This window comes from Homo sapiens, chromosome 2, assembly GCF_000001405.40.
Source record: "Homo sapiens chromosome 2, GRCh38.p14 Primary Assembly".
NCBI classification, from domain to species: domain Eukaryota; kingdom Metazoa; phylum Chordata; class Mammalia; order Primates; family Hominidae; genus Homo; species Homo sapiens.
This window is the reverse complement of record NC_000002.12, coordinates 70,965,868-70,985,690: the sequence shown is the minus strand read 5'-3', so window position 1 is coordinate 70,985,690 and position 19,823 is coordinate 70,965,868. Positions and strand designations below refer to the sequence as shown.

Below are 19,823 nucleotides of genomic sequence, written 5' to 3'. Positions count from 1 at the left end.
GCCTGCAGCAGGAAGGGCTTAATCTGAACAAGAAACAGAATTTCCCAGTGGGTCCTTCCATCCTGGAAGCCTGGGCCCTTAGGGCTGGGAGGGCAGTGGGGGTGCCAAAATGTGACAACTTTTACAATGCCAAGGTGAAGAATAGTGTCTGACCCCCCACTCTCAACCTAACTTGGATTTCCTGGCGGCGGTGGGGGGGTGCCAAGAGATTTATTTGCAGAGAAAAGGGAGGCCTGGGGTCTGGGCTTTTGATTGGGAAGGGTGACTCCTCGAGCTTGGGAGTGGGAAGCCCATAGGCACCCCTCCCCCTTTCCTCGCCACCCACAACGTGAATTGCCACACTTCAGCCTTCACTGGGCTGCCTCAGGGGGAGAGGTAGCCATAATAACTTTATGGGTTGGTTTGTGGGGAGGGCAGGGTGGGGAGTCCTTGATGAGATCGCACAGCTGCCAGGAAGGCTTCATCGAATGTGTCACGCAGGTTCATGGCCAGAGTGTCGGTCCAGAAGGTGTTGTCACCCAGGTGCCGCTTCCTGGGCACTTCCCTCATGCTGATGGGGTAAAAGCCCTGGGGCACCTTCATTCTGTATGGCCATACACGTGGGTACAGCATGCGCAGCAGCACCTCAAAAGGCAGCCGCGGCACGGGCGCCACCCAGTGGCCGTCCACTGTGTGCAGCCGCGCACCGCCGTGCCCATCAGGCCTCACCTCCAGGAAGCTGCTGAAGTCGTGCTCCGGAGTGGGGTCTGGATGCACGCCCAGGCGGATGCCCTGCGAGTGGCTGATCTGGGTGGTGGGGGGTCTGGCGGGGTTGTTGCTAACATTCCACATTGTGGGCCGCTTGACCGTGGGCTTCCTGTAGATGGGCTTGGGCATCTCCGTGGGCTGTGGAATGCATTGCAGGCGTGCATCCACAGAGGGGTGGAAGCTCCTGGAACGCTGCGATTCCCGTTGCTCTGGGGTCTTGGAGAGGGCGGTGGCCCGGGCTTGCTTGGTATTGGAGACCAGAGAGTGGCCTGGGTGCAGCTTGCCGTGGAGCCACTTTCTGATAGCAGCTTCTCTGAGAATTTTGTGCTCTTTCTGCAACAACAGAGGGCACAAGAGAGTCATGGAGGACTGCTGCCCTCTGCTTCTGGGCAAGGAGGTCCTGTGGCTGTAGCTTTCGGAAACCACAGTCTGAAGGATGAGGGAAACTCTGAGTCTGATGGGAGGGAAAGTCTGAGTCTGATGGAAGCAACACCTGCCTTATGGGAGCCGGTGTTCCGATGGGGGAGACAACTTTTTCCATAAGGGAGCCCCTGGGCTGAGTGGGGAGACAAAGCACCTCTCCCAAAGGGGGGATCTCCAATCTGATGGGAGAGATGTAGCCTCTGCCCTAGGTGAGACTCCAACTTGACATGGGAGACACAGTCCCTGCCCTAGGGAAAACCTCAAGTCTTACAGAAAGACAATTCCCTTCTTCTCCAAAGGAATCCACAGTCTGATAGTAGAGAAATGTCCTGCCATAGGAGAGTCTCTGGTGTGATGGGGGAAAAGGCAAATGGGAAGTGCACACTGCATCCTTGACCCTGGAAAGAGAAAGCAGAAAGGACTGGATGGCCTGATGTGGACACGCTTCTTGGAAGTGGTGGGCCTTGAGAAGTCATGTAGGGAGGATACAGTTGGCTGGCTCTCCAGGCCCGGTGGCAGCAACTCAATCTAGCTCTGTCCTTGCCTCCACGGAGCCTTCCATATATTGTCATAGAACCTCCCCCACCGCCATTGTCTCACTATCCCAGACTGTTGCTAAGCAATCAGAGGCTTTGGAGATTGACCCAGCTCCAGGCACAGGCTCTGATTGGGCTAAGCCAATCATCATAATTCCATCAGACCTTGCCCCAGACCTAAGTCAGTCAGCATATGGCTTTCCTTTAGTTCTAGCTAAAGGAACGAGAATGGACACTTGATCGAATTGAGGCCATAAGAGATGAGGGAAGATGCAAGGAGCTTCTGGAAAAGGTTAGAGCTACAGGAAACAGATGGGCCTTGCCTCCTCTGGACAGTGTGTGACTCTGAGGACTGGTGACCCTGACATCAGAGGAGGATAGGGCTGAGAACTGGAGAGAAATGGAACTGAAACAGACCCGGTGTGCCGGAGTCAGCAGCCCCAAAGCCCTCCCCATTTCAGGATTCACTTAAGATTCCCAGTATCTTCTGAGTTTTCTGGGTTTTGCACCCTATGTAATTACACCTGCTTAAAATCCCCTTTCTTCCCCAGCCAAGGTCCTTCACTGATGTGGGCTCCTGCCAAATCTTGTCAGCCTCCAACTTACATCTGATCCCCAGCTGCTCTGAGTTTTCATTCTCTGCATACATCATGTTCCCAGGTGCCTCTATGCCTTTCCATGCGGCTGCTCTTTATGCCTGGTTAGCCCTTCCCTCCTTCATATAGCCAACTGCTGCGCATCTTTCAAGACTCCTCTTAAGCATCATGCCTCCTGACACCCTCCTGGACCCTCTCCTCCTTGATGGGCCTGTAACCTGCCTCCTCTGCTAGACTCTAAGCTCCTTGAGCGTGGGGACCACATATTGTTCATCTTTAGACCTCAGGGTCTAGCAGGTTCCTAGCACAGAGTGAATGCCCAGTGCCTGCTGGAAGGAAGGGTGGATCTTTTTAACCAGAGTGTGAGCCCCAGTTACAGGCAGTGCCTTGGTCTCATTGAAGGTTCTCATCCTGAAAGAGGCAGTACACTAGGAGGGGCCCAGAAATACTTGCGAATTTAAGCTTGCTTAAATTGGCTTTCTAACACAGGATAAGACTTTTGACCAAAAGACTGGCTTATTTAAAAGAGCGGAATTTCAGTCAGAGTACCCGGTGGGAGTACAGGCGAAAGGGTGGCTCTTTCAGGGTGGGAGTGCTTCTAGCCACTCCTCCACAATATGTGGGTCACTGCCCCCTCTGCTCACATGCCTGGATAGCAGCTGTCCCCTGGCCCCCCTGCTGTCCCCCTTACTTGATACTCAATCAGGTAGTTGTGCTCCATGAGGGTCAGCTGGCTCTTGAACATCTTCATTTTCGTCATCTCACGGGCAAAGTCCTTCTTGTCCTTTTTCCACATGGCATCCTTCAAGAACCTGGTGCCAAGGTCAGGGCGGGGGTGTCATCCCACAGTGACAGAGCTTCCACCTGGGCTGGGAAGACTGGCTGCTGCTGAGGGCTTGGATGGGGATGAGGGGAGTGGCCAGAGGGAGAGGAGCAAGATGAGCCATCCCCATTGCCCGGGGCCCTCTGGCTCCCTACTTCCTTTAGGTGAAAGACGAAAGTCCTTGATGACCTGGTCACCACCCTCCTGCTGAGGAGCCAGGGGCCCCAGGGCAGGAAAGGAGGGCAGTGATCAACCCAGAGAGCAGGGGACCTGGGCAGACTTACCCCCAAGCCCAGGTGATGAGGTGATTGCCTCATCCAAAATATCCTGGGCAGTAGGCGCATCCTCCAGCTGTCTGGCTTCCCAACCCTCCCCTTAAAGGCTCAGCTGTGGTGAGGGCCCTAGGGAAAAGGCTGGGGGAGGGGAAGGGGGTGGGCAGGCTCCAGGTGGTTCTCACACTCTCACCGGGCACAGGCACGGTGGTTCCATATTTTGCAGAAGTCAATGGGTTTGTAGCCCATGGCATCTTGGGCATGGACGTTGGCGCCACTCTGCACCAGGACCTTCACACAGTCCAGCAAGCCGTCACGGGCTGCCAGGTGCAGGGGCGTGGAGCCGTTGCATGTCTGACTGTGGAAGGCCCCACCAGTGGGGATAAGGGCAGAAAGGAAAGACAAAGAGCATCTGTCCATCAGATAGATGGACACACCAGTTTCCAAGCCCTGCTCTACCATCAGTCCACTGGGTGATCCTAGCTATGTCTGTCCCTTTTGGCACCTCAATTTCCTTTACTGTAAAGGGAGGAATTGGACTAAGTGAACAGTAAAAATCTGACTTTAGAAGGTATGTGATAGTTAAGAACTGCTGGAAGGAGAGCTGGCTTGGTTCAGAGACCACTAACCTCATCCACTCTTAAACCAACCAGCCCCCTGCCCTTTCCCTATGCCTCACCAGATTCCGTATGCCCACAAGATCTGCATGACCTGGGCCTAACCTCCTCGATCTTATCCTTTGACCTTGCCCACTCTTTCCCAACACATGGTCTTTGCATATGATGTTACCTCTACCTGGAACACTTTTCCCTGGCTCTTTGCATGGCTGGCTCACTCTGTCTTCAGGTTCCAATTTAAATGTCACCTCCTTAGAGGTGATTGCTTCATCCAAAATAGATCCTCCCCCTACCTGCTTTACCCCCTACACCATCACCCCGTTTATTTTTTCATAACCACTTCCCATGCTCTGTCAGGATTTTGTTCATTTATTTGTTTGCTAATTCACTGTCTGCTCCTTTACTAGAATGTCAGCTTCGTGAGGAGAGGGACCATTTCTGTGACTCTAGCATAGTGCTTAGCACATAGTGCATACTTGATACTTTGAATGAATGCAGTCTCCTATATGCCATGCACTTTTCAGTGATCACAGTAGTCCCATGTGATAGGTACTGCTATTCTCCCAAGTTTCAGTTGAAGACACTGAGACAGAGGTTCCCAAACTTAGCTTCAAGTTAGAAGCACCTGGGGATCTTTTCTGACTTCCCAAGCCCAGGTCACACCACAGACCCATTAAATCACAGCCTTTGGATTGGAACACAGGTGTTTATATTTTTTAATTTTTTTTTTTTAGACGGAGTCTCGCTCTGTCGCCCAGGCTGGAGTGCAGTGGCACGATCTTGGCTCACTGCAAGCTCTGCCTCCCAGGTTCACGCCATTCTCCTGCCTCAGCCTCCCAAGTAGCTGGGACAACAGGCACCCGCCACTACGCCCGGTTAACTTTTTTGTATTTTTAGTAGAGACGGGGTTTTACCATGTTAGCCAGGATGTTCTTGATCTCCTGACCTCGTGATCCGCTCGCCCCAGCCTCCCAAAGTGCTGGGATTACAGGCGTGAGCCACTGCGGCCAGCCTAATTTTTTTTATTTTTTATTTTTTGAGACAGTCTCGCTCTATTGCCAGGCTGGAGTGCATTGGAGCAATCTCGGCCCACCGCAACCTCCACCTCCCGGGTTCAAGCGATTCTCCTGCCTCAGCCTCCCAAGTAGCTGGGACTATGCCACCATGCCACCCGGCCAGGTGTTCATATTTTTTAAGCTCCCTAGGTAATTCCAATGTACACCTAAGTTTGGGAGCCAGAGTACTGGGGCATAGAGGTTGAGTGACTTGCCTAAGGTCCTGCTGTCTGCTAGCAAGTTGCAGAGCTGGGATGTAGACTAGGTCTGTTAAAGGCCAATCTTTTTTTTTTTTTTTTTTTTGTTGAGACGGAGTCTCGCTCTTGTTGCCCGGGCTGAAGTGCAATGGCACCATCTCAGCTCACCGCAACCTCCATCTCCTGGGTTCAAGCAATTCTCCTGCCTCAGCCTCCCGAATAGCTGGGATTACAGGCATGCGCCACCATGCCCTGCTAATTTTGTATTTTTAGTAGAGATGGGGTTTCTCCATGTTGGTCATGCTGGTGTTGAACTCCTGACCTCAGGTGATCCGCCTGCCTCGGCCTTCCAAAGTGTTGGGATTATAGGCATGAGCCACCATGCCCGGCTAAAGCCCAGTCTCTTTATTACACCATGTGGATTCCTGACTGCTTTATGTGGGACCCAATCCTTGTCACCTCCAGCAACCCCTCTGCTTGTCCTGCATGGATTTGCCTGCCTGGAAGTAGGGCTGTGCCCGTGCCTGTGCCCGAAGCCTCCCTCCTGAAGCAGGCTGGACTCACGCATTGAGGTCTGCGCCTTTCTCCAGCAGGTAGTAGATGCAGGGGAGGGCCACGGTGGTGTTGTCCCTGTGGATGACGAGGTGCAGGGGTGTCTGGCTATTGTTGGTCAGCAGGTCCACGGGAAACTTGTACTCCTCTACCAGGACCTGCAGGCATGCAAGCTTGCCCCATTGGGCGGCGAAGTGGATGGCAGTGAAGCCCTGTGAGGTTCAGAGCAGGCAGGAGGAGGCTGAGTGGGACTGAGGTCCCAGGGTCCACAATTTATATAAATTTATTGGGGTTACCTTCACTTTCTTCCCTGTGTCCCCAGGAATGCTCACACCCTTTTGCTAATTAACCAGTGTGTGTTCATCAGCCCACCCAACCTCCCTGCCCCCAAAATGGTCCTTCCACAGCCAGAAGATGAGTTAAATTAGGAAGATCTACCCAGAAAAGGATATCTCTTCTCCAGGTGACCACTCCGAGCAGCGTAGCGGGAGAGGGACCTCGGTCTTTGCCCCAACACTCAAGACCTTACCTTGTCGTCGGTGGGGATTTCCCTGAGGCTCTGGTTCAGACAGAATCGCAGCCATTCCACGTTGCCCACAGCCGCTGCGAACAGCTGGTAGTAGCTCCCGATCGCCGTCTGGTCGATTGCCGTCTGGTCGGACTCCTTGCTGGGGCTGGGGTCAGCGCGGGGCGGGGTGAGCGAGGCAGGGCGGCGCGGCCTGGCGAGGGCAGTCGCCTGCGCACTGAGGTGGTCTGCGAGGTCGGGCAGGGGCTGGCTGGAGGGCGGGGCAGTGGGGAAGCGACTCTGGGCCACGGCCCGGGCACCTCTCGGGAGGCGATCCCTGGCCCCCGCCTGGCTGGTGGGCGGGGCAGTGGGGAAGCGACTCTGGGCCACGGCCTAGGCACCTCTCGGGAGGCGATCCCTGGCCCCAGCCTGTCTCTGCTGGCTTCTCGGGCCGCAGCCTCCGCCCCCGCCCGCTCCAGGCCCTGCCCACCAGGGAGGCGCTGGGCCGGGTTCTCGCTCCCTGCAGCCGGGACACCTTCTCCCGCTACCCACCTGGGCTGCTTGGACTCCGCGTCAGTCCAGGTGGCCTTCAAGGAGACTTTGTTCGCCTGCTGCATGGAGCCACTTGGAGTTGGCTGCGGCCGAGCACCTCTCCCTTCTCCCCTTTCTGAGTGCCAGCTTCCGGAGCCCGCCCGCCGAGCGGTGCTGCCCGCGGAGGCCATCGCGGGGCTGGAACTCGGACCCGGGCCGGGCGGGCTACTCACACACCCGCCGGCGCCCCGCCCCCGGGGGCCACTCCTTGCCAGCTGGCCGCGGTTTCCCGGCCCCTTCCAGGCCGCTAGGGTTCGGCTGCCTCTCTAGCTGGAGGGGCAGAGCCCGGGGGCCTCCGGGGACCCTGCCCGCCTGCCGCTCCCCACCCGCCGCTCTGCTCCCGGTCTGAGCCAAAACCCCCACTCAACCTCCCAGTCCTGCTGCCCGGGAAACTCAGCATCAAACACACAAACAACAAAGACACTTGGCTTTTGTTTCCGATTATCAAACTAATAAGTAGAAAACAGAAATATTCAATGTGGAAATTAAAAATTACCATCCCACCACGCACAGAAATCATGGTTTATTGCAATATATATGCATATCATGACTATTTTTTGTATCTCTTTTCGTTTATTAATAGCATTATATTACGAGCTAGCGCCCATTGTCACTCCACATACTAAACGTACATTATGACGCAACCAGAGCCCAGCGTCATAATGGATGTGCCATTGTTTCACATGTGCTGCCAAGAACGAAATGGCTCAACTCTGGTTGTTTTCTTAGAATGGATTCCTGGGAGTCGAATCACTAGGTGAAAGGGAATGAATATTTTTCAGCTGTCAATATGGGCTTGCAGACTGCCTTCCAGGAAGGTTATTATTCACTTCCACTTCCACCTGCAGTGAAGCGGGTGCGCTGCACATCAGCAGTGTGGCTTTTGGCAAGTTATCTGACTTAGTTTCTGTGGGCGGCAAGCCACCCAGGTGCCAAGGCAAGAGACCGAGGGCACAAGCTGTTCCAGTATAATAAAATATACAAAACAACAAGAGTTATACTAGATCTAGATCTAGATCATAGACGTGATTATATATGAATATCGTTAATCATTAGTTTGTAGCAATTACTCTTTATTCCAATATTGTAATAATCCTCGCTCTATAATCATAACCTAGGAAAAACCAGGCCATAGAGAGATAGGAACCAAAGGGACATAGTGAGAAGTGACCAGAAGACAAGAGTGCGAGCCTTCTGTTATGTCCGGACAGGGCCACCAGAGGGCTCCTTGATCTAGCGGTAATGCCAGCGTCTGGGAAGACGCCGGTTACCAAGTGGACCGTGGTCTGGCGGACCCTGGTCTGGCGGACCGTGGTCTAGCGGTAGCATCAATGCAAAGGAAAAGCACCCGCTACTTAGCAGACCGGGAAAGGGAGTCTCCCTTTCCCAGGGGGAGTTTAGAGAAGACTTTACTCCACCACCTTTTGTGGAGGGCTTGACATCAGTCAGGCCCGCCCACAGTTATCTGGAGGCCTAAACATCTCCCTGTGACGCTGTACTTCAGCGGTCACACTCCTGTTTCACTTTCATGTTCCATCCTGTACATCTGGCTCTGCCTTCTAGATAGCAGTAGCAAAATTAGTGAAAGTACTAAAAGTCTCTGATACACAGAAATAATGGCGTAAGCTGTCCTCTCTCTCTCTCTCTCTCTCCCTCCCCCTGTCCCCGCCCCCACCCCCACCCACCTCGGCTGCCAAGCAGGGAAGGGCCCCCTGTCCGGTGGACACGTGACTCACGTGACCTTATCAATCATTGGAGATGACTCACACTCCTTACCCTGCCCCTTTTGCCTTGTATCCAATAAATAACAGCACAGCCAGGCATTCGGGGCCACTACCGATCTCTGCCCTCTTGGTGGTAGTGGTCCCCCGGGCCCAGCTGTCTTTTCTTTTATCTCTTTGTCTTGTGTCTTTATTTCTACAATCTCTCATCTCCGCACACGGGGAGAAAAACCCACCCACCCTGTGGGGCTGGTCCCTACAAGTTGCTACAGCAGCAAAATGGGGATAATAGCACCTACTTTACAAGGAATGAAGGAATGCAAACAATGAGAACAGTGCTAGCAGAGAAGCACTACCTGTGAATCTGCTATTACTCAAAGAAGAACTATTCAAACCATTGCTAGCATCAGATATTAGGATTTTAAGTAAATGTTCACTAATTTGGTAGTGGAAATGATGTTCTAATGTGGCTCTTTGATTACCAACAAGGGTTAAACATTTAATTATCAGTGGTTTTGTCTTCTAGGAATTCTTTTACTCACATGGTTCTTTGAGGGCCTTAATGTGTTTCTTACTGATCTGTAAAACTTATTAGCATAGTGACCCTTTATGTATGTTATATTTGTTGTCAATATTTTCCTCAGTTTGCCTTTTGACTTTTTAGAATATAGAGTAGCTAAGCAATAACTGTTGCTTGAATCAGTGTTGTCTTACTGAGCCATCCACATTCTCATCCCTTCTCAACAGGAATGACCCCAAGTTTATCAGAAGGCTCCTGTGGCTCCAGGGTCAACTCTGGGCATATCTGACTACATCACTCCACCCCTACCATGGTCTCTCCTCTGTACCCCAGCGTTCCAGGTATTTCCCCTAAGAAAAGGACAGAAGGTCCCCTAAGACCACAGTGACCTGCAGAGAGGGACAAGAATACAGATTATCCACCCAGAATCACGTTTCTCCCTTTCCAGGGTACTGTCTTCTGAGAGCGCACTTGTCTGCCAACCCCAGTAGCCAGGACTCAGCATACCTGGCAAACACCTTCAAAACTAGCAAATCATGCTGGCTATCTGCCCCAGGTAGGGCCTTAGCAACTGGCTTCAAGTTGAGATAAAGTGACAGTGCTTTTCAGGGATACAGTTTGAAGATTTCCTGGGCTATTGTTGCTTCTGGGGTGTTAGGATTCTAATAATTACAACAGGACCCTGTGTATGTGGTGGGGTTGGAGAGAGCATCTCAGTACCTCTCCAAGTTCATCCTCACTATCTTGAACTGGGGTATCTTACATCTCTATACCAGTGTTTTGCAACCCTGGCTGTACAAACACCAATGCAGGGGTCTTACCCCTACAGATTCTGATTAATTCATCTGGTTTGGGGCCTGGGCATTGGTATTTGTAAAGTTCTCCAGGTGATTCTCGTGTGTAGCCAGGGTTGAGAACCACTTTAAGGCCTTTCTGCCTCAGTCAGGGAGGCAAGAGGCTGCAGGTGATTTTGAGGGAGAAGGGTCAATAGAGTAAGGGAGGAAGAAACAGGAAACTAGCAGAGTCCCCGGGGGGAGAGAATGTGTTATCCTAAAGACCCTTGGTCACAGCCATGCAGCTGGGCAAACAGATAACGCCTGGTGGAACAACAGAAGCTGGACCATGAGAAGGGCAGACAGCAGAAAATGCCCAGAGAAGGGTTCAATTTCTTCTTTGGAAGGTGATGGTAAGGGTGTGGCTCCAGATTAACTGGTTCTACAGCTCCAGGCAAGGGAGATGGAAGGCTGAGGGGAGCAGGTCCATCAGGGAGCAGTTGGGGGAGAACCTAGAGAGGCACTGTCTGTACACTCCAGGGCCAGTGCCCAAGGCCAGATGCTCCTCATCTATTCTCTAAACCACCCCAGGATCCTCTTGAAGCTTAAGCTAGTTTAGATTGAGCTTCTGTCACTTTCAACTGAAGCTTGACTAGTAAAAACTCCTGAGGTTAAAGCCTCTATTGGGTAAAAGAATTAGAACCAGTGGGATAGTCCCAGAAAAGAGCTGTGTGGGCTAGGGGCACTGTGAAGACCCAGGGGACATTGGAACCTGGCCCTGTGCTGTCTTCCAGGAGGAGTGGTACACCCCAGAGAAATGGCCAGGTACGTGAAACTAAAGAATCATGCTTGGAGTGCTGAGATCCATTTGTCTGAGCAGGAACACACCCTAAGATGGGCCTAGGCTGTGGAAGCTGACACTTTCACTGTGGCCAGGCAGCGTGCTCGCTCATGAATGGGAGCAGGGTGGGGGAACTTGGCTGTGAGAATTGGGAGTCCTCCAGTGGTGAGTCTGGGTTCTGGCTGTGGTGGTAATGGGGTAGGAAACAGGACTTTCAGAACAGCACCCTGGAGTATCCATTTGGAAGGAAGTGGATAATGCTTTTGGGGGAGAAAGAAAAATTTGAAAGACAGGTTCTAATGGGTGGGAGAGGGAATGTCTGCCTCTTGGGACCAGATTTGGAGGAAGGCAGGTGTCTGGGTGCCCACTATATTGTAGGGGTGGGGAGCTCTGCTCAGGACAGGAACCCTAAAGAACAAGTCATACCCCTTAAATCAGATTTACATTGAGGGAAAAAAGGAGTTCACTACGAGAGCCTATCCAAGTCCCTAAACAAACAAGCAAACAACAAAAACAAGCCCGAGAGGGGGGAAGGGATATCAGAATTCAGAGTTACTACAATATATTTCCTAAAAAGTTTAATTTTCAACAAAAAACCATGAGATATACAAATAAACATGACCCATACATAGGGGGAAAAAAGCAGACAACAGAAACTGCCTATGAAAGAGGCCAGATATCAGATTTAACAGACCAAGACTTCAAACCAGCCATTAAAGCTATGTTTAAAGAACTAAAGGAAACTATGATTTAAAAAAGTAGAAGAAGGTATGGTGACAATTTCTCAACAAATAGAGACTATCGATAAGGTAAACCATTAAAAAATAATCCAATGAATTCTGGAATTGCAGAGTATAATAATTGAAACAAAAAATTCACTAGAGAGGAACAATAGTGGATTTGAACTTGCAGAAGAAACGATCAGCAAACTTGAAGATAGGCAGTAGAGATTATGCAATCCAAAGAACAAAGAGAAAAAAGAATGAAGGAAAACAGAGCCTCAAAAAAAGTCGGGGGGCACCATTAGGCACACCAACATACTCATAATGGGAATTCCAGAAGGAGAGATGAGAGAAAAGAGCAGAGAAAGTAATTGAAGAAGCAATGGCTGAAAATTAGCCAAGTTTGATGAAAAAGATTAATCTACACATTTAAGAAAGCTCAGCAAACTCCAAGTAAGTTAAACACAAATATATCCACACCTAAGCTCATCATACTAAAAATGCTGAGAGACAAAGTTTTCAAAGCAGCAAGAGAAAAAGAACAAATCACATTCAAGGGAACCTCAATAAGATCAATAGCTGAATTCTCATCAGAAACAATGGAGGCCAAAAGGTAATGGGTAACATATTCAAAATGCTGAACAAAAAACAACTCTCAAGAATTTTATATCCAGAAAAGCTATCTTTGAAAATAAAGGCAAAATAAAGACATTGCCTGACAAACAAAAACTCAGAAAATTTGTTGCTAGCATCCCTGCCTTACAAGAATTACTAATGGAAGTTCTTCAGACTAGAAGTAAGTGACCCCACACCATAATCTGAATCTTCACAAAATAAAAACAAAACAAATCCAAAGAGCACTGGTAAAGATGACTATGTAATTACAAAAACAATATAAATGCATATTTCTTCTCCTTCTCTTAACTGACTTAAAAATAAATTGTATAAAACAACATATATGATTGTATTGTTGGGCCTATAATGTATAGAAGTGTAATCTATTTGACAATAACAACAAAAATGAGGTGGGTGGGAGCAAATCTGTATTGGAATAAAGACATAACAGCAGATGGTAACTCATACCCGTGAGAACAAATAACAAGAACCAGAAATAGTATAGAAGATTAATATAATATACTCTATAAATATATATTTACTATCCTTCTCAGCTTCTTTAAATGATATAAAACTATACAAGGCAATATTATAACAATGTATTATTTGCATATTATATATGCGCTATGTATAACAATAGTACAAAAAGTTAGAAAAGGGAATTGAGTAATAGAAGAATAATGTTTCAGTATCTCACTGGAATTAAGTTAGTATAAATCTGAAATAGATTCTGATAAGCTAAAATGAATAGAGTAAGCTCTAGAGTAACCACTAAGAAAACAACTGAAAAAAATAGAATGGAAAATGATTGAAGGAATTAAAATGTTACATAATAAAATATTCACTTAATGCAAAAGAAAGATTAAAGGAGAAACAGAGGAATGAAAAAGACATGACATATACAGAAAATGAAAAGTGATGAAGTCAGAAATAAATAAAACAAAAAGAAAAGAAAAGTAAAATGACAGATGTATATACTACCATATCAGTAATAACACTCAGTCAGACTGGATAAAAGTCAATATTCAACTATATGCTGTCTATGGGAGACATTTTATTTTTTATTTATTTATATTTTTTGTAGTGATAGGGTCTTACTATGTTGCCCAGGCTGATCTCAAACTACTAGCTTCAAGTGATTCTCCCACCTTGGCCTCCAAAAGTGTTGAGATTACAGGCATGAGCCACTGCACCCAGCCCAGAAGACACTTTAGATTCAAAGACACAGGTAGGTTGAAAAGGAAATAGATATATTATGCAAACAGTAAACATAAGAAAGATGAAGTGGCTACACTAATGTCAGACAAAATAGACTTGAACATCAAAACAAAATAAAACCCACAATCAAAGTATGTTACTAGAGATAAAGGAGGACATTTTATAATGAAAACAGGGTCAATCCATCAGAAAGATATAACAATTATAAACATATAAGCACCTAACACCAGAGTCCAAAAATATAGGAAGTAAAAACTGACAGAATTGAAAGAAAAAATAGACAATTCAACAATAATAATTGAAGACGTCAATATCCCACTTTCAGTAATGGATAGAATAAGTACCCAGAAGTACAACAAGGAAGTAGAAGTCTTGAACAATACTATCAACCAACTAAACCTGAAAGACATCTGTTGTACTCTTCATCCAACAACAGCAGAGTATACATTCCTCTCAAGTGCGCGTGAAACATTCTGTAGAATAGACAATATGCTGGACCATAAAACAAGACCCGATAAGTTTAAAATAATTGAAACGTTCTCTGACCACATGGGAATGAAATTAGAAATGAGTAAGAAATTAACTTGAGAAATTCACGAATCCGTGGAAATTAAACAATTCACTCCTAAATAACAAATAGGTCAAAGAAGAAGCCACAAGGAAAATTAGAGACTGCTTTGAGATTGATGAAAATAACAGGGAAAATTAACTAAACTCAAAGTCGGTTTTTATTTTTTATTTATTTATTTTTTTGAGACAGGATCTCACTCTGTCACCCAGGCTGGAGTATAATGGCACAATCTTGGCTCACTGCAGCCTCAACCTCCCAGGCTCAAGTGATCCTCCCACCTCAGCCTCCTCAGTAGCTAGGACTACAGGAACATACCACCATGCCCAGCTAATTTTGTTTAATTTTTTGTAGAAATAAGGTCTCACTATGTTGCCCAGGCTGGTCTCGAACTCCTGGGCTCAAGTGATCCTTCCACCTCGTCCTCCCAAAGTGATGGGATTACAGACATGAGCCACCATGCCTGGCCTCAAAGTTGGTTTTTAAAAAAGGTCAACAAATTTGGCAAACTTGAAGAAATAAGACCTAGTGTTTGATAGATCAGTAGGGTGACTATGGTTTACAACAATCTATTGTACATTTCAAAATATCCAGGAGAGGATAATTTGAGTGTTTCTAGCATAAAGACAAGACAAATATTTAAGGTGATGAATGTCCCAAGTGCGCTGATTTGATCTTTAAAAATTATGTGAATCTATTAAATTATCACATGTACTCTGGAATTATCTACATCTATTATGCATCAGTAAAATAATTATTTTTTAAAAATTGGCAAACCTTTAGCTAGACTGACCAAAAAAAAGAGAGAAGACTAAATTTATTAAAATAAGAGATGAAGGGGGACATTACTATGTACTTTACAGAAATAAAAAGGAGTACAAGGGTATATTATGAACAATTACTTGCCAACAATTTAGATAACTTAGATAACAAGGGAAAAAAATCCCATAATAACACAGCCTACCAAAATGGACTCAGGAAGAAATGGAAAATCTGAATAGACATATAATAATTAAAGATAATCAGTTAGTAGTAGTAGTAGTTAGTAGTAAAAACTGCCGACAGAGAAAAGTCCAAGTCCAGATGTTTGGTGAATTTTACCAAACATTTAAAGAAGAATTAATACAAATTATTCACAAAGTCTTCCCAAAATATAAACGAAAAATGAACAATTTCAACTCATTCTATTAGGCTAGTATTACCCTGCTACTAAAATCAGACAAAGACATCACAAGAAAAAAAAATTACAGACCAATATCTCTTGTGTATATAGATGCAAAAATCCTCCATAAAACACTAGCAAATAATATCCAATAACATATTAAGAAAGATTGTGCACCATGACAAAGGGAACTTATCCCAAGAATATAGGTTTGGTTTGATATCTGAAAATCAATATAATGCACTATATCAATGGAATAAAGGATAAAAAACCACGATCATCTCAGTAGCCAAAAAAAGATCATTTGACAAAATTCTACACCTCTTATTATAAAGCACTCAACAAACTTGGAATAGATTGAACTTCCTCAACTTGATAAAGGAAATCTATGAAAAACCCACAGCTAACATCACGCTTAATGGTGAACAGCTGAATGACTTCCCTTTAAGATCAGGAACAAGACAATGGTGTCCACTCTTGCCACCTCTATTTAACACTGTGCTAGAGGTTCTAGCCAGGGAAATTAGGTAAGGAAATGAAATGAAAGGCATCCAGATTCAAAAGGAATAAGTAATACTATCTCTATAGATTACATGATCTTGTATACTGAAAACCCTAAGGAATTCATTTAAAAACGATTCAAAGTAATAAATTAGTCAGCAAGATTACAGAATACAAGATCAATATCAAAAATCATTTGTATTTCTATACACTAGCAATGAGCAATCTGAAAATGGAATTATGAAAACAATCCCATTTACAATGGCATCAAAAAGCATAACATACTTAGAAATAAATTTAAGAGAAGAACAAAACTTATTCCCTGAAAATTACAAAACTTAGTTGAAAGAAATTAAAGAAGACTGGAATAAATAGAAAGATACTCCCTGTCCATGGATATGGATCAGAAGATTTAATATTGCTAAGATGGCAATACTCCCCGAATCAATCTACAGATTTAATGCAGTCCTCCTCATAATTCAGGTTGGCTTCCTTTTAGAAACTGACAGGTTGATCCTAAAATTCATGTGGAAATTCAAGGGATCCAGAACAGCCAAAACCATCTTGGAAAAGTGGAAGCACATCCACTTCCCAATCAAAACTTATTACAAATCTACAGTAACTAAGAAAGTGTAGTAATAGCATAATAATGGACATATAGATCAATGGAATAAATTTGGAGTCCAGAAATCACCTGTCACATTAATGGTCAACTGATTTTTGCTAAGACAATTCAATGGGAGAAAGAATAGTCTCTCCAAAACATGGGACACTGGAACATCCATATGCAAAAGAATGAAATTGGAACCCTGGCTCACATAATATAAAATATTACAATGGATGAAAGACTTAAATATAACAGTTAAAACCGTAAAACTCGGCCGGGCGCGGTGGCTCACGCCTGTAATCCCAGCACTTTGGGAGGCCGAGGCGGGCGGATCACGAGGTCAGGTGATGCAGACCATCCTGGCTAACACAGTGAAACCCCGTCTCTACTAAAAATACAAAAAATCAGCCGGGCGTGGTGGCAGGCGCCTGCAGTCCCAGCTACTCGGGAGGCTGAGTCAGGAGAATGGTGTGAACCTGGGAGGCGGAGCTTGCAGTGAGCCGAGATGGCACCACTGCACTCCAGCCTGGGCGACAGAGCAAGACTTCGTCTCGAAACAAAACAAAACAAAACAAAACAAAACTGTAAAACTCGGCTGGGCGTGGTGGCTCACACCTGTAATCCAGCACTTTGGGAGGCCAAGGAGGGCGGATCACTTGAGGGCAGGAGTTTGAGACCAGCCTGGGCAACATGGCAAAACCCCGTGTCTACTAAAAGTGCAAAAATTAGCCCGGTGTGGTGGTGCGTGCCTGTAGTCCCAGCTACTCAGGTAGCTGAGACAGGAGAATCACTTGAACCCGGGAGGCAGAGGTTGCAGTGAGCCGAGATCGTGCCACTGCACTCCAGCCTGGGTGACAGAGTGAGACTCCATCTCAAAACAAAAACAAAAAACTCTAAAACTCTTAGAAAAAAACATAAGCATAAATCATTGTGACCTTGGATTAGGCAATAGGTTCTTAGATATGACACCATAAGAAAAAATAAACAAGACATCATCAAAATTAAATTTTTTTTGCTTTAAAGGACATCATCAAGAAAGTGAACAGACAACACACACACAGAATGAGAGAAAATATTTGCAAATCATTGGTAAAGGACTGGAATTGGTATGTCAAATATGTGAACAAGTCTTACAACTCAATAATAGAATGACAACCCAACTTTAAAATGGGCAAAGGATGTGAATAGATATTTCTCCAAAGAAGATATACAAATGATCAATAAACATGGGAAAAGACAGCCAACATCATTCATTGTTAGGAAAATGAAAATCAAAACCACAATGAGATACCACTTTGTACCCACTAATATGGCTATAATAAAAAGGACAGATAATAAGCGTTGCTGAGGATGTGGAGAAATTGGAAACCTCATCCACTGCTTGGGGAAATGGAAAATGGTGCACCCACTTTGGAAAGCAGCTGGCTGTTCTTCAAAACATTAAACTGAGTTACCATCCAACCCAGCAATTCCACTGCTAGTTATCTACCTGAGAGAAATGAAAACATGTCCTCATAACAACTTTCACAGGAATGTTCATAGTAGCATTATGCATAATAGCAAAGAAGTGGAAACAACTCATATGTCCATAAACTGCTGGATAAACAAAAGGTGGTATATCCATTCTGTGAAATATTATTTGGTAATAAAAAGAAATGAAGTACTGATGCATGCATGGATGAACCTTGAAAATATTTTGCTAAGAAGCCAGTCACAAAAGACCACATATTGTATGTTTCCATTTATATGAAATAAAACAGACACATCCATGGACAGAAAGTAGGTTAGTAGTTGCCTAGGGCTGAGGAGTGAATGGATTGTGGGGAGGTGTTGAGAGGTGAAAGCTAAGGGTGTAGGGTTTCTTTTCGTGGTAATGACAGTGTTCTAAAATTGATTGTGGCCATGGATGCACAACTCTGTGACTATACCAAAAACTTAACTCTTACAATTATAAATAAATTGTATGGTATGGGAATTATATTTCAATGAAATTGTTATTAAAAACAACTCTTTGCCCAGCGGACACCCAAACCTTTCCCCAGCGGACACCCAAACCTTTCCCCAAGATGGCTGTAAATTATCTTGGGGTGGGAATGGGGAGGTCCTCCTTTGGTCCTAGCTCTTGATCCAATAATTCTGACGTCATCTACAACACGTTTACCTAGAAATGAAACTCAGCTCTTTGCTGAAGTTCTATCCTCCCAAACCACCCTTCTTTCCCTTCCTAGGAAGCATTCATGATTTCACTGTAGATGGGGCAGGGGAGACAGAGGAGGGATTGATATTACAAAAAAGTTGGCAGCTTTCAAAGGAACATCAGGCAGCCTAATTTATAGAATACTCTTCATCCATTTCTTAACTGGGGATCTTCAGTCTTCTGCACTCATACCCCCCAAGTCCTTCAGGCCCTCTCCCTAGCAACTCTTCTCCCTTCCTGTCTGGAGCAAACCAAATTCTACCTAGCATCTCTCAGGCAGAGCTGTTTAGAGTCACACACATCTTTTGTGGCCTTGGTTGTCCCTTCCAAGGCTCCTGAGCTCATGTTCCACATGAAATTTATCAAGATATTTGTGTGTTTATTTGTTTGTTACTGAGACAGGGGGCGACCCTGTCTCACTCTGCAGCCCAGGCTGGAGTGCAGTGGCGCCATCACGGCTCACTGCAGCCTGACCTCCCAGGCTCAAGTAATCCTCCCGCTTCAGCCTCCTGGGTAGCTGGACTACAGGTGTGTGCCACCTAGGTGATTTTTAAAAATTATTTTAGTAGATACAGGGGTCTCACTATGTTGCCCAGGCTGGTCTTTAACTCCTGGGCTCAAGCAATCAATCCTGTCTCAGCCTCCCAAAGTGCTGGGATTACAGGCTTGAATTATCACACCCAGCCTATCAAGCTATTTCTTTCTTTCTTTTTTCTTTTTCTTTTTTCTTTTTTCTTTTTTTTTTTTTTTGAGACGGAGTCTCACTCTTATTGCCCAAGCTGGAGTGCAATGGTGCAATCTTGGCACACCGCAACCTCTGCCTCCCAGGTTCAAGCGATTCTCCTGCCTCAGCCTCCCATGTAGCTGGGATTACAGGGATGTGCCACCACAGCCGGCTAATTTTTTTTTTTTTTTTTTTGTATTTTTAGTAGAGATGCGGTTTCTCCATATCGGTCAGGCTGGTCTCGAACTCTCGACCTCAAGTGATCCGCCCGCCTCGGCCTCCCAAAGTGCTGGGATTAACAGATGTGAGCCACCGCTCCTGGCCCAAGCTATTTCTTAAGGAAGATAATTATCTCCCTAAGAAAAATTTTATTGTCAACTGTTAAGACATTAATGCAGCTTTTTAAAAATTAATTAATTAATTAATTAATATGAGATGGAGTTTTACTCTGTCGCCCAGGCTGGAGTGCAGTGGCGCGATCTCAGCTCACTGCAACCTCTGCCCCCCGCGTTCAAGTGATTCTCCTTTCTCAACCTCCCTAGTAGCTGGGATTACAGGCGTGCGATATCACACCCAACTAATTTTTTTTGTATTAGTAGAGACGGGGGTTTCGCCATGTTGACCAGGCTGGTCTCGAACTCCGGACCTCAAGTGACCCCCGCCTCGGCCTCCCAAAGTACTTGGATTACAGGCGTGAGCCACCGCGCCGGGCTTAAATTTAATTTTTATTTTTTTTTTTA

General features: G+C 46.0%; 1 protein-coding gene and 1 long non-coding RNA gene across 7 annotated transcripts, besides 4 other annotated features; one reads left to right on the top strand and one right to left on the bottom strand.

The window, feature by feature from the left end:
* Nucleotides 1–191: 191 nt before the first annotated feature.
* ANKRD53 (ankyrin repeat domain 53) lies at nucleotides 192–7,246 on the bottom strand. 6 transcript variants are annotated; one of them, XM_047445904.1, is made up of 7 exons: nucleotides 6,876–7,246; nucleotides 6,348–6,492; nucleotides 5,831–6,030; nucleotides 3,591–3,755; nucleotides 2,994–3,114; nucleotides 1,442–1,568; nucleotides 192–1,080 (listed from the first exon to the last, which is right to left on the bottom strand). In XM_047445904.1, coding segments are annotated over exons 1-7 (930 nt in total). In that variant the 5' UTR covers nucleotides 7,046–7,246; the 3' UTR covers nucleotides 192–1,078. The 6 variants fall into 6 exon arrangements, with proteins under 6 accessions (XP_047301860.1, NP_079209.3, XP_047301861.1 ...); NM_024933.4 differs by having other exon boundaries at nucleotides 6,348–6,594; nucleotides 6,876–7,061; XM_047445905.1 differs by lacking the exon at nucleotides 3,591–3,755 and having other exon boundaries at nucleotides 6,348–6,594.
* Nucleotides 810–1,357: an enhancer, noted in NCBI's record as "H3K4me1 hESC enhancer chr2:71211464-71212011 (GRCh37/hg19 assembly coordinates)". NCBI's record gives its function as "activates a minimal SCP1, AML or CMV promoter by ChIP-STARR-seq in naive H9 embryonic stem cells {active_cell/tissue: H9 hESC(naive)}" and the evidence as "EXISTENCE:reporter gene assay evidence [ECO:0000049][PMID:30033119]".
* LOC105374795 (uncharacterized) lies at nucleotides 1,560–12,962 on the top strand. Its single transcript, XR_001739534.2, has 2 exons — nucleotides 1,560–1,998; nucleotides 9,383–12,962. It is a non-coding gene; the product is annotated as an uncharacterized LOC105374795 (long non-coding RNA).
* Nucleotides 6,625–6,684: a silencer, noted in NCBI's record as "silent region_11616". NCBI's record gives its function as "represses an Ori minimal core promoter by ATAC-STARR-seq in GM12878 lymphoblastoid cells {active_cell/tissue: GM12878}" and the evidence as "EXISTENCE:reporter gene assay evidence [ECO:0000049][PMID:35858748]".
* Nucleotides 7,045–7,134: a silencer, noted in NCBI's record as "silent region_11615". NCBI's record gives its function as "represses an Ori minimal core promoter by ATAC-STARR-seq in GM12878 lymphoblastoid cells {active_cell/tissue: GM12878}" and the evidence as "EXISTENCE:reporter gene assay evidence [ECO:0000049][PMID:35858748]".
* Nucleotides 8,162–8,431: an enhancer, noted in NCBI's record as "active region_16009". NCBI's record gives its function as "activates an Ori minimal core promoter by ATAC-STARR-seq in GM12878 lymphoblastoid cells {active_cell/tissue: GM12878}" and the evidence as "EXISTENCE:reporter gene assay evidence [ECO:0000049][PMID:35858748]".